At 33.8% G+C, this 14,700-nt stretch overlaps 1 protein-coding gene across 9 annotated transcripts in view; it reads left to right on the forward strand.

Moving 5' to 3' along the window:
- Window positions 1–14,700, forward strand: part of NUP58 (nucleoporin 58) — a 48,176-nt gene that overhangs the window by 21,950 nt on the left and 11,526 nt on the right. For 7 of the 9 annotated variants that reach the window (NM_001411001.1, XM_047430805.1, XM_047430806.1 and 4 more), the window contains 5 exons: window positions 1,415–1,494; window positions 3,342–3,460; window positions 3,856–3,938; window positions 7,783–7,984; window positions 13,362–13,460. In NM_001411001.1, the coding sequence (NP_001397930.1) occupies window positions 1,415–1,494; window positions 3,342–3,460; window positions 3,856–3,938; window positions 7,783–7,984; window positions 13,362–13,460 (583 nt within the window). The remainder of the gene's footprint in view (window positions 1–1,414; window positions 1,495–3,341; window positions 3,461–3,855; window positions 3,939–7,782; window positions 7,985–13,361; window positions 13,461–14,700) is intronic. The other 2 variants (NM_001411002.1, XM_047430804.1) reach the window with 1 other exon arrangement.

A 14,700-nucleotide genomic window follows, 5' to 3' on the forward strand; every position in this document is an offset into this window, starting at 1 on the left:
CTTATTTAACCCTAAAACCTTTTCTTCAAAGAAAGCCTTTCTGGGAAATATAAGCAGTTCTGCAGTTAGAACTGATGCAGACCAGATTCTTATGGAAGACAAAGTCTTTTATATACTTCATTTTTAATAAGTAACTTGAGTTTAAATTAAAATAGGATGGTGGTTCTTTTGGGGTAAGTGGGGGCCGCATGGTTTATTGAAGTTAAATTACTGAGTTCAGCTCTCCAGTCATTCAACTAACATTTTTAAAAGATCTGTTATGTGCCAGGTGCTTCAGCAGGCATTAGGGATCAAGACTTAGACTAGGGAGAGAGTTAAATCCATCAGGTGATATGATCCAGGTACAAGGGTTTTGTAGGGGCACAGAGGCCTCAAGTGGGCATTTTTATCATCTGTCCAGTGTAGAATACCTTTACATTGAGTCTTGAAAAAGAGGAAAGTATCATGAACGAGGGTATGGGCATGTCTGAAGATCTACAAGCAGTTTAGTGTTAGGAGAGTCTGGGCCTGGCTAGAGTCAGTGCTTAGAGAGGTAGCAGGGGTCAGAGTCTTGAATCATCTACACATGTATTTGTACTGGAGTGGGGTGGGATGGAAGCCTGAGTTGAGTGAAAAGGATGTAGAAAAAACAGTCATCAGCTTAGCAGCTTGGCAGTTTAATGAGGAAGAGATGTTGCTACAGGGAATATAAAGTTAAAGTAACTCTTTGTGAAATAAAGAATACTTAAATAGAGGTCGAAAATATAGTGAAATGATAGGAATGTGGAATGTAAGGGGGTAAACAATACTAATCTTGAAAAAACATTGGCTGGAATTGTAGAAAGCAATATAAGAATGGTTGAGTGTGTAAGCTTTAAAAGATCCAGTTCTTCGGTCTTCTAGCAGCATGATATTGGGCAAGTTACTTAATGGCTTTGTAAATCCATTTCTTCATCTATAAAAAGAGAAACATTCCCTACATTGTAATGTTGTCCTTGAGAAGTAACTTTTAGCATAGTGTTTGGTACATAGCAAGCACCCAAATGTTAATTGTGCCTGCCTCAGCCTCAACATTATTATTGCCACCTGCCTTTTAAAAAAAAAAAGTATTTTCTGCGTTTATATTAATGATTTTAAGTAGTAGTATAATCTTTACGCTGTAAATGAATTCACTTCGTGAATCCTACAGAAATCTATAGTTTTAAAAATAGATCTACAGCTCTTTATAAGTTTGTTAAAACTGTAATTTGTCTGCTCTTGAAAGGTTTTAGCAACTTGTGAAGCAGCTTCATCCATAATATGTTCTTATAGCATGAACCTCCAAGGTATTGTTTGAAGTTTCAGTCCAGAGACTGAATATTTTTTTTCGTACGGTATTTTTAACATAACTCTTAACTGGCTTTTTTTTTTTTTTTTAAATCCTCTGGTATATTAGGAGTTGAAGAATGCTGAAATAGCTTTAAGAACCCAGAAGACACCACCTGGACTTCAACATGAATATGCAGCTCCTGCTGAGTAAGTTGCTGGATTTTTAAAAACAAATGTTTCTCACTTTCAGAAAGCAGAACAGTAATAATAGTATACAAACTAAATATTTTTAGTATACTATGTGGAAAGGCTGAGCCAATAAGCACTTTACATGGATTTTAAATTTCATAATAACCCTAAAAAGGTTTATCTCCATTAACACCATTTGACTGCAGGGTAAGTGAAGGCTAAGATCTGAGCTTTTCACCACTATTACGCATTTATACTTCATGTACATATTACTTACAGAGTCTACTCCATTTTATTAAATTTTACTGGTAATGGAAAATTACCATTATTCATTTAAATAGGTAATACGTGTTCTGGAAGAAAAATTAGAAAATATACATAAGTAGAAGAAAAAACCAACCTGTAATCACATCACTCAGCTTGTATATATACATTTGGCTTTCATACATGTAAAATATATCTTGCCTGTTTATGTCCTTCCATGTTGATGAAGATAATAATAACTGATGTTTACCAAATGCTTACTATTTCCCATGCAGTGTGCTTAGGACTATACATGCTTTACCTTCATATTTCACAAGATCTCTGTAGCTGTTGTTATTCCAGTTTTAGCGATAAAGAGACTGAGGTATGCAAAAGTGAGTTGAGTGGTGGAGGTCTGTTTGATTCCTGGTCCCTCACAATTAATTAATTAACTTGTAGAGATGCCATTTCACAGTGTTGCCTAGGCTGGTCCTAGGCTAAAGTGATTCTCCCGCCTCAGACTCCTAAAGTGCTGGGATTACAGATGTGAGCCACCACGCCTGGCCCCTTACTTATTTTATTCTTTTAGTTTTTTATTATAATTTTGGTCTACAGAAAAGTTTCAAGATGAGAACTAAAAATTCCTGTATGCCTTTCATTCCAATTTCCTACATATTAACATTTTTACCATATTTTTGTTCCTCACATTCTATGTGTGTATATACATTTCTCCCCCAAACAGTTTGGGTTATTTGCAGAAATAATGTTCACTATGCTAAAGTACTTCAGTGGATATTTCTTAAAAATAAGGATATTCTCATACTTAACAGTTCTCAAAATCAGGAAATTCATAATGCCCATGATATTCGTCTTACTCAGGTTGGCATGAGATGTGCTTCCTCACTGGACTTCCTCTACTATTTTATCCCTCTGTCTTGTACTTAATACTGCCATCAGAGCTAATTTTGCAAAATGCATTCATGGTTGCCCATTGTTTACTGAAAGACATTCAGATTCCTCTGTATACTATTCAAGATACCTTCTTTTTTTTTTTTTATCTGTCTAGCACTCTCTGTGGGTAAATTTATTAGAAAAGTAGCAATAATTACATGTGCTTTCTGTAGTATACTATGGTGTTCTCAGATTATAAATTTCATTGATAAAATGACTATAAATTCTTAATTCTGAAATCTGGTTGGTAGACGTTTCTACTTTATTTTAAATTTATTTTAACCTTACAGAAAACTTCCAAAATAGTAGTACAGAGAATTTATTTATATCGCTTCCCTTGCTTCCCCTAATGTTAACTTATAACTATAGTATAATTACCAAGAACAGGAAACTAAAATTGTTACAATATTATTAACTAAACTACTAAACTTACTGAAATTCAACCAGTTTTTCCACTAGTGTACTTCTGTTTCAGCATCCTATTTGGGATTCACAGTGCATTTGTAATTTCTCCTTAATATCTTCCAGTCACAGTTATTCAGTCCTTCCTTTCCTTGGATAACCTTGATACTTTTGAAGACTATTAAATGATTGCAGAATATTCCTTAATTTGGATTTGTCACTCCAAATTAAAAAAATATTTGATCTGACTTTTTAAATGTTTTTTAAAGCTACTTCAGAATCTTGGTTCAGCAATTTGAGGTACAGCTTCAGCAGTACAGGCAGCAGATTGAAGAACTAGAAAACCATCTTGCCACTCAAGCAAATAATTCACATATAACCCCTCAAGGTAACATGCTTACTGTGGTAATTTTTTTTGAACTTTTGTTTGTAGGAGATAGATGTGGTTATATAATAGGTATTTTGGATAACTACTGGTAGCCCCTTTAAGAAAATTTCCTTAAAAGTCATTTACTACTCCTTTATTCCCTATAAATATAATATGCTTTATTATATGAATTGTTACTGTGGTAACAAGGACAGAAATCTTAGGGCCTTCCCCCCAGATTTCTTTTGTAGACATTCAGTCTGCTACTCTGTGTGTTCTCTGGCCATGAGAACGTTGATAGAGTTTTTTTCTCCTACACGTTAACTGTGCCAAAAATTGGACTCAAATAGAAAAATAAAATGGATTGTGCTATATATATGTATATATTTGGGTGATAATGTAATTTTCTTTTATAGATTTGTCAATGGCTATGCAGAAAATTTATCAAACATTTGTAGCTTTAGCGGCACAACTTCAGTCTATTCATGAAAATGTAAAGGTAAGTTTTCATTACCCATTTATCTACCTGGATATGTAGACCCAAGTATTTGTTCATCTGGGGACAAATGTGTCCATGCTTGATACAGAAATAGCTAAAATTACATATAAGTGAAAAGATGAAAACTACTATAATCCATAACATACCCAGACATAACGATTGATAATACCTGTTCTTTTAAAAAAGATCCAAGTACGCTGTAGTCTGTTATTATAACTTTTTTTTAAGCAGTGCATTGTGAATAACTTTCTATGTTAATACACATATTTCCTGAATATCATTTTTAATAGTTAACATAGGAGTTTGTTGTATGGTTGTACATTGTTTAACCCATTTTCTGTTGGATATTTAGGTGGTTTCTATTTCTTTACTACTATAAATAGCACTATAGAAAATAGGCATTCTTAGTCAGGCACAGTGGCTTACACCTGTAATCCCAGCACTTTGGGAGGCCGAGGCGGGCGAATCACAAAGTCAGGAGTTCAAGACCAGCCTGGCCAATATGGTGAAACCCCGTCTCTACTAAAATTACAAAAATTAGCCGGGTATGGTGGCGGGCACTTGTAGTCCCAGCTACCTGGGAGGCTGAGGCAGGAGAATCGCTTGAACCCAGGAGGTGGAGGTTGCAGTGAGCCGAGATCACACCACTGCACTCCAGCCTGGGCAACAGAGCAAGATTCCATCTCAAAAAAAAAGAAAATAAGCATTCTTAGTAGCAAATGATTTTGTACTACCTTAATTTTATCTGTTTTAAGTGTTTATTGGCCACTGCATTAAAAACCGGCTTACAGCATTTCTCCCTTTTAAATACAGGGAACTGTTTGTGTTTATTAAATAGTGTAAATAAAATGATTTATCACTGAATATTTAGACTGACTCTCGCTTTTTTTTTTTTTTTTTTGAGACAGACTCTTGCTCTGTCGCCCAGGCTGGAGTTCAGTGGCATGATCTTGGTTCACTGCAACCTCCACCTCCTGGGTTCAAGTGATTCTCATGCCTCAGCCTCCTGAATAGCTGGGACTACAGGCACGTGCCACCATGCCTGGCTAATTTTTTGTATTTTTAGTAGAGACAGGGTTTTGCCATGTTGCACAGGCTGGTCTCGAACTACTAAATTCAGGCAATCCTCCCTCCTCGGCCTCCCAAAGTGCTAGGATTTATGGGCATGAGCCACTGCACCCAGCCTGAATATTTTGACTCTCATAATAACGTTAGTTTTAAAAATGTATTTAAGTGAAATGTTCAAGGTAAGTACATCTTTTCTAACTAACTGAGCAAATGTAATTAAACTCTTTAATCTTGGAGTGTATGTGGTCCAAAATACCTTTAAAATTCAAGCAGCGAAACCTGAGTCTAGATAAATTATCAACTGTGTAGAATAGAGTTTAATTGGAATTATCAACATTTTCATTTTTATTTTGATTTCATGCATAGTAACAGGATTTTTTTAAGTAAACCATTTAAATTACACCATTTTTGAAATGGTAGTGCACTTTAGACCTTTTGCTTTAGTAGATTTAAAACTGTAACCCAAATCTTTAAATTTTGTTCTAAAGGAGGAATTTTATCAGATTTAAAAAAATTCTATTAGTCTATAATAAATGTTACTTTAATTTTTTAATAAAATTAATGTATGGCACTTTGAAGTCCGTTGCACAGAATTCTTTTCCTTAATTTTTATTATGAAATCTTTCAAATATACACAAAAGTAGGCTATCATTATACTGAATGCCCAGGTATGACTACCTAATTGCAACCATTATCAAAACCCTGCTGAACTTGTTTTATCAATGCTCCACAGAAGATGCTTTTTTTCCCCCCACGAAGTATTTCAGAGCAAATGCCAGGTGTAAACGTACATTTTTTTTAGCAGCACTGTCTCCTCTCTGGTTTGGAAAATATATCATTTTTGGTAATATGACCATAAAACAGTGAGACCAAGACCACATAAAACTGCCCTAGATCACGTCAAATAAACGTTGTAGACATGAAATTTTGACCTACTCTTTAAGCAACCCAGGAACGAAAGGATATTCCCAAGAACCAAAGAATATTTTATAATCAGATTTGGTATGTTGCCATTATTTTTAGCTTAGTTTAGTGAGCAAACTAAGCTCTAGGTTTCTTTATTTCTTGTAGAAATCTCACAAGACATTTTTTTGTTCGTTTTGTTTTTCATTAGGTAATCTGTTGAAACAGGCGTTAACTATTCTATCCAGCCAGGCCTCAGGAACATTAACACATTTGGAAGTTTTAGCAATTTGTTTTATAAATCATGGCTGATGTCAAGGTTTTTGTTTGTTTGTTTTATTATTTTGTTTTGTTTTGTTGAGAAGGGCTTGCTCTGTTGCCTATGCTAGAGTGCAGTGGCGTAATCATGACTCATTGCAGCCTCAATCTCCTGGGCCCAAGCGATCCTCCCGCCTCAGGCTCAGCCTCTTGAGTAGCTAGGACTACAGGCATGCACCACCACACCTAGCTAATTTTTTAACTTTTTGTAGAGAGGGGCACTTGCTGTGTTGTCCAGGCTGATCTTAACTCCTGGCCTCAAGGAGTCCTCCTGCCTAGACCTCCCTAAGGGCTGGGATTATAGGTGGGAGCCACCGCGGCCAGGCTGTTTCTTTTAACTAATGGTCTTGGTCTTAAGTTTCTAAGGTGGATCATTATTTTCCATTATCTGAAGTAGAACTAAAATTTATGGGATACTGATGCTTGCCCAGGACAAGGAAGGGTGGATTTGCAAGAGATCGGTAGTGCTTGTTTTTCTTACATCATATGTCTTGATTCTGGCTTTGTATCTTCCCCAGTATCCAGTTCTTGGCAGGCCCCCTTTTTTAATACATCATAAATGTAGCAAAGTTTGGAATTGGAACATCAAACACTGACATCCACACAAAAAGGGCGATGATAGCTTTTAAATACTATAAACAACAGTAAGATTTTTAAGTGCTGTATTTGTTATAATCAGAACCTAATGTTTACTAATTTCTGCTAAGAAATGTAAGAAATATGAAAAATCTGTGTCTCTTCAAAAAGTGGTTAAAAACCTATCTAAATTAGGCTAAATCTTCAATGAAAGCATAAAATAATTCTAAAGTGAAACAGAATTGTTGCTGTTGATGGCCTTAATCAAAGCAGATGCTGCATTGGGTAAAAGCAGCTCACTTTATGAACTTGGGAATTTTTCTTACTCTGGAGTTACAAACACTTTTTTTCTTTGAGGCGGGTGGTTGGGTTCATAACTTTAACATGAATCAAGTCTCATTGTACAATGGTCAAATAATAGCAATAAAGTAGAAGCCCTCATCATACCCTCCAACCACTGCTGAGGTGCAACACCTTATTTTAGCATGTGTTACCCAGGCCTTCTAAAAAATGTATTTAAAAGTATGTATATTTAGTGCTGACTTTTTTTTCTTTCTTTTTTTTTTAAACTGTTTTAATCAAAAGGCTATGAAAAGGTTGGACATTTGAGGGGAAAGTTTCTTGAAAAACTGGAATATTTATTTTTAAATTCTTTTCATCCATCCATCTGCACATTGATGGAGTATTTAAATATTACTCTGTCTAAAAGCTTAGCTGATTTATTTTAAACAAGGCCTCACAAAGACAGTATTTTAGGAAGCATATTGTAAAGATAGGGAGTAAACTATTCAAGGGAGCAGTAGAACTCTTGAACTCATCATTTCCTACACCAAAGTGCATTATTAGCACTCTAATTTGCAGTTTGGATTGAATGTATAATATTGGGACTGTCTTTGGTAATTTATGGTTATATTCATCCACATATTAACCATAGTCAATGTGAAACTTCATTTAGCCGTTTTGTTTATTATTCTTTTAGGTTCTGAAAGAACAGTACCTTGGCTACAGGAAAATGTTCTTGGGAGATGCTGTTGATGTGTTTGAAACAAGGCGAGCAGAAGCCAAGAAGTGGCAGAACACACCCAGAGTTACTACTGGACCCACTCCTTTCAGCACCATGCCAAACGCAGCAGCCGTTGCCATGGCTGCAACACTTACACAGCAGCAACAGCCTGCTACAGGTCTGAACGCATTCAAGTTATAGCTTCTTACTGTTCCAATGCAGAACATTTATGTGCGTTTTTATAAGTCTTCCATTTGTGTGAGCACTGAAGAAATTTCTATGAGTAGCTGTTCCAATACAATCTAAAATTGTGATGGACACGATTATAAACATACCTGATAAAAAAGGCAGGGTAGTCTTAGCAATAATTATACATCAATTAGATATTGAATATTGTGAATCTACTTAATGTTATTTGCTGTAATGCTATAAATGCCCTTTAGAACATGGTGTTTCACTAGTGAATTACATTTAAGAATAACATTAGATTCTGAAATCATGACTGTACCATTTATTGTTTTAAAGTCAGAGATCATCCATCCATTCTTTGAATTTTTCATATATGATACTGATAGGTGGTGCATTCTCATTTTCCTCATACATAGTGATTACAAAGTACCCACATTCAGGATGAAGTATGCTTTTATTGACTGAAGGTATGTTGAAGATCAATAGGCTTGTTTGTATGTATGTTGACTGTAAACAGAATACAAGCCCTCTAAACCAAATTTTGAAGATGATACATGCTAGAATTGTACCTTTCCAAGGTGAACAGAACAGCAAGAGCAGGAAAAAGATGTTTTGAGATGTGGATTGCACATTAAGGAGCAACTGGGAAGTTGAACAGATGAAAATAATTGGTGACATGGAAAGCAGATTGTTTTATTTCTTGGTTTAGTTACACTTCTAATTAGAGAAACATTTTTTGTGGTCATTCTACAGTGTTTTATTTGGTCCTGTGTCTTTCGGAGGTTAATAGTTATCTTAATCCTGCCATCCCTTTTGTCAGGTTTGAAGCTTGACATGGAAAAATAGTCTTAATCGATATTGATTTTTTTATTTTAATCATTCATAAATTTCTTAGTAATGCTTACTATTCAATAGCATGTGTCTTTCTGAGAGTTCCATATAGTCCAGTAGTACATTATAATACACACAAAAAAATTAATACATATTTAGATTGCATTCAAGCTACCTATACTAGGGAAGCATTCTCTGGTTTTCACTATTGGCAGTTTAAAAAATTGTTCTTCACATTTGGAGATGACAGAATTGACTTGCCATAAGTAAAGGGTTGATGATAGATTTATGCCAAATCCTCCATATCCCGTGGCTGGACCCATGTGAATAGTGGCTCGCACGAGCACTGTCTGGTAGCTCTCTAGCTGGCTGGAGTGTAGGATTGCATTGTTAAGTTATGGAGGGAAAAAGTCATTATGGGATTGATTCCTTTGAGGATTGATATTTCTTCTTAAAAGGATTCAATCCCATAATTATGACCATCAGCTCTCATGATTACCTAACCAGTTAATCAAACCAACCATAGTACTAGTTTACTTTTTAGAGCCAGTATTAATCCTAAAGTAGATAAGTGTAGATTTGGTTAAGTGTTCTTTAAACATAGTGAATTTCCATTCTATTAAATAGAACTTGAGAAATGTCAGTTATATAAAAAGTTATGTTGTAAGTGAATATATTCTATGATAAATACCTAAACTTGAAGCAAAATCTCCTGTCAAGGGTTTGTGTGTGTGTGTGTGTTTAACTTTCTTATCTATAGATTATTATTTTGAGAAATTCATAGGTTTTCACTTATACATTTTGAGCTTGTGGACATATGGAGATGTGTGTTCATTCTCTAAATGAGTGCCTACTATGTGCTGGGCTCGAGGAATACAAAGGTAGACAATATAGATTTTGTCTTTGCCCTCTGTGGTGGTTGACAATGTTAGCTTAATCTGGAGTATTCTTGAGGAGCCTTTTGCTCATAGGCTTTAATTTTGTCTGTGACTTTTGCCAGGCTTTGGGGAAATTGACTGCCTTCACTCTTCCCTGAAACTTTGAAGTCCACATAAGGGCTTTCTCATCAGATGGCAGAAATTATAATTTATTAACCTAAACAACCTTACAGTGTTTTCGCTTTGAATTGTATGAATTCTTAGAACTGAGAAGCTAAACAACAGTGATAACAATTTTACATTATCTTTTCTTTCTCCTTTTGTTTCTCTAAAGGTCTCCCAGGCCTTCCCAGTCAAAATTTTCGTTATTTTTAGTCATGTCACCATGATGTGAGATTTCTGAGCTCTGTTAGATACATTTAGAAATGTCCCTATTTATCAAATGGTGTTTTGTACCCCATAAGTTATCCCTTATGCCCTGTGACTTCTGTGAAATCTTTGTTTTTAAGTGCCAGTAACAAATTTTAGACCATCTAGATGAGGGTAGAGAGAGCTTATGCATTGTTTTTATACATCACTGTTGATCTATACAAGATTTGAGTTATCAGAAGGGTTTTGCTTTTATTTGCATATGAAATTTTTATTAACATGAATATGGGCACAGAGCAAATAGCTTCTTAGACTGCTGCCTTCTGAAGGTGGCTTCTGTATCTTTCTCAGAGGAGGAGGAATAGACTTAAACGACTTCTTTGTCCTCCTTCAATTTTTTTTTTAATGAAAAAGTATACTAGGGCTTAGGCATGTGTGATTTACAGTTATTTGTTCTGAAGGCTGCAGAGAATTGAAAATCCAGCAGGCTATTTGTGTATGAAATCATGAGCATCGATAACGTGGATAACGTAGTTCCATGTTGGCAGAACTTGACACTTGTCTATAAGTGCTTCCCAAGCCTCCTGAAAAACTGAAGACATTTACATTAGGCTTTTCAGTATAATTTTAATTTAGGATAGGTTTTTTAGCAATGTATCTGGGATTGAGTTTTGCTATTGTGTTTTGACACTTTAAGAGTTCTTGATGTTTACATAATAAGACTTTCTTATGTGACTTAGCTGCTGTTTTAAGGAGAGCCAAGACGTTTTGTTAGGAATTCCTAATTTTTAGCTTAGTGTAGGTTTGGACATTTAAGGTGTAGTGTTAAATAGGAAACATTAAGTATTTCATCTTAGTTTCTTGTGGTTTTGTGATTTTGTTGTATTTAATAACCAAAGGAACATTCCCCATTAAATCAGTAAGAGTAAAATTTTTCAAACTGGGGAAAACGCATTTTAGGTTTTTTAAAGAAAAATTATTTTAAAATGTGACTTAGAAATAACCATACTAATTACATTAGGCATTTGGGGTGATCATGGAAAATTATAAAATATTTTTAGCACTTTAGTCCTTTTTCTGTTAATGCAGTTTTACTTTTAAGAAAGTAAAATTTATTCTGGAAAATATGAATTACAGCGCTAAACCTGGTTTTGTTGTGTGTGAATATATTATATGGTAACTTTTGTAAAATGTTACTCTACATGAAGATTTCACTTTGGCCAGTCATTGGTATATATCACTACAAACTTAATTTTATTTATGGAAATAAGAACCTCTCATTGGATGACTATTCAAATTTCAAAGCAGACTTCTTGAATTGTTTACGTAACTTTTGCCTGAAGGATTTAGACTGCTTTCTAATAGTGAAACTAATATATATGGTGGCCAGAGTGTAATATATGCTAATACTTTGGCATGGGAGATATTTATCATGAGTTTTTACTATTAAAAAATGTTATACATTTGCCTACGAGTTTTATAAATGATGTTGCCTTCAGAATTTGTGTGAAGGTACAAAACTAAAAATATCATGTATCTGATGTGCAATGGAAAGTCTTGTCATCATTAGATATGAGTTCTTGATTATATTCTGAATATTGATGATTAGAAAAATCTTATGTTCTGTTGCTCTTAACAACAGACCCACACACAACAAAAAGCATGCTATTTGAGTAACTCTTACGACTTACAAGGCTGAGGGCTGTGGTGTGCATTATTCTTTAGGGTCTTCCACCAGCAGTGCCTCCTATTAACCTGTGACAAACAAGTCTCTCAATGTTAAAGAACTGGACATGTGTTTTTTATGTTTTTTGTTAGGAATCAGAAAGTATAATAATATGCTTGGTTTCTTTTTCCTATAGTAACATTTTACAAAAGAGCTGCTAGGCAGGTATTTTATTCTCAAAGTGATCTCAAACTGGATGTAAAATTTTAAATTATTTTTTTAATAGTAGTATAAGAATTCTGGCTGCTATTAGTTATTGTTTGTTTTCTGGGTTAGAAGCTATTCGAAAAGTCCAGTTTCTGTCCCAGTGTAGCAAAATGTAGTTCCTCGGTTGTTTTTCTTTAAATGCTTTATAATTTTACACTACCTTTTTAATATACAAACCTCATTCTTCATTGGATAACTTGAAGGCTTTGATTTCTTTAAAAATTTAAATTTTAGTGTGTATATTACTTTGACAGTTCCCTCATCTTTGAGATGCACTGATCACTGTGCTTGAAAAAGACAATACTGAAGATTGTACTATGAAGTTTATTGAATAATTTTCATAAATTATTTATCCAAATGAGAGATTTTTAGATTTTTGTATTCTGCTTAGTTTTAAAAAAAAAAAATAGTAGTTTAAAAGAGAGGCTAGTAAGTTTGATGCTATTCTTGCCAAACAAACTCAGCCAAAATCTTTAAAGTAACAAGAGGGAAAAGGATGACTAATCGTTCTGCTTCTGAGTACATTTTCCAAAACGTTGGAAAGAAACTTCTGAATTGAAATCTTGAATGTATTGAATCTGTCAAGGTACACAGCGGTGCCTTTGTAAATGTTCATTACTTTATTTAATCAGGTGATAAGTGGTGTAATGTAGCAGAGCTTAAGAATAGAACTCAATTATCACTTTTTGTGAACAAGTTGGAATTGTCATGTTACTGTGTAATTGATTTGCTTTACAATGAACAATAAATTTAATAAAATAAAACATTGTCTTGTTTTTTATCTACTTATTGTATATATCATTTATATTTCATATGAGAAATCATGCCTAGTTTTTTGGGTACTTACTCTTATGAAATAACATGATAGTTTTGCCATGTTAGTGTCAGTCTCTCTTGATCAATTGAGACTTGACTCTAACACTAAGGAGCTCGATTAAAAAAAGTAAAAACCATTTACTGATTATACCAACTAGTTTTATCAGAAAACAAGTGAGGAGATCTAAAATAATTCTAGAAGTAAATCTAAAGGAATGATAATTTATGATACATTAAAGATTTCAAATTATTTAGTAGATTAAACTAACGTCTTTCATTGCGGTAAGCCTCTTTTAATTGTCTAGTTCTGAACAGGTTAATTTTTTTAAAATCTTTTTTTAATTTTTAGATAGATAAATCAGTTTGGATAGGTAAGTTAGACTGGAGAGACATCCTGAAAACTAAGTTTTAACAAATGGAATCAGTTAAAAGTAATCACTGTTCATTTTAAAAATAATTTCATAAAGAATCTTTAATCTTGAAAGAGTAAGGCAAATTTGTTTTTTTTCCCCCCCATTTTTTTTTTTTTTTTATACCAGGGCCACAGCCATCTCTGGGAGTTAGTTTTGGAACGCCATTCGGCTCAGGTATTGGCACTGGCTTGCAATCAAGTGGCTTAGGTTCTTCAAACCTTGGAGGTACACTTTAACTTTTCTAATATTTCATTGAACTATTATATATTTGAATTGATACTAGCCTGTAAAAAAAAATTTCTAAGAGAATCTCCTGCTATTTTGGAAGTTAAGGTTCCATCTGGCAAAAATGATTCTCAAACATAATTATTGCTTTCTAATATTAGATTTAGAACTTAAAGAATCATTCCATCTTCTGTGAACAGCAAATATAAAGTATTAAAATTAAGTGGTAGGCATGTTCATGTTTTCAAAGCAATATGCTGACACATGAACTTGAGAATTCTTTAGTTTTAATCATCTTAATTAAAAATCTTAAAATTAATAGTCTTAATGTTAGTTTGGAGTCTGAACTACTTCTGGATGATATACATTCTCCTAATCAGTATCTTCTTTTTTCTGAAAATGAGTACTTAGGGAAATTATTATGAATTGAACAGCTCAACTCATGTCCATTTCTAAGCACATTTGGCAAATTTGCCTATATACATGCTTGTTTACATAAGCAATTAAGCTTATTTTAATACTTTCATAAGGTTAGTAAGGTAAGTCCTCTGCAAAAACATCATGCTAAATACAAATGCATTCACAATTCTTTGATATGGATAACTGAAAGTTGGTTGTATTTTCACAGGCACATTATAATGTAATGAATAAGTTGCCCTTATTTCCACTAAAATATAAGACGGGAGACCTATAAGCTATTACGGTTGTTTAATATAGACTCTGTTCTAAATTAGGAATTATTAGAATCTGGCAGATAGCATAATTCCTATAATCTATAATTAATTTGCCATCACATTTCTTATTGTTACAGGCAATGATACTGTCACACTCAGTATTTTAGATAAGCTATTGCAAAATAACCAAAAAAGAATTTGAACTTTATTTGTAGAGCACCTGTCTCTTAGGAGAGTGGAAACTAGTCTTCAAGTACTTAGAATGTCATGAACTTTGTGTGATGAAAAATACTTCTTTTTTTAAATGATGAAGATAGTATTGTTAAGAGAAAAACCATGATCTTCTCACCACCAATTTTTCACTGTTAAACTGGCTGGTAGTATGGCAGGAATCTACTGTTACTGAGTAGATTTAAAGTGCTTGATTATGTAGTTATGCAGAGTTTTTCAGCGTTTCAGATTCTTAATTAAAAATGTTTTGGGAAAGAGCAGAGTAAAATAACCTTGTAGTATTTAGTGTTTACATTGTAGTGCATGTCATGCTTATTAATGTATTTAGTCCTTTT

The sequence above is a fragment of the Homo sapiens genome, chromosome 13, assembly GCF_000001405.40.
Source record: "Homo sapiens chromosome 13, GRCh38.p14 Primary Assembly".
Classification (NCBI taxonomy): Eukaryota; Metazoa; Chordata; class Mammalia; order Primates; family Hominidae; genus Homo; species Homo sapiens.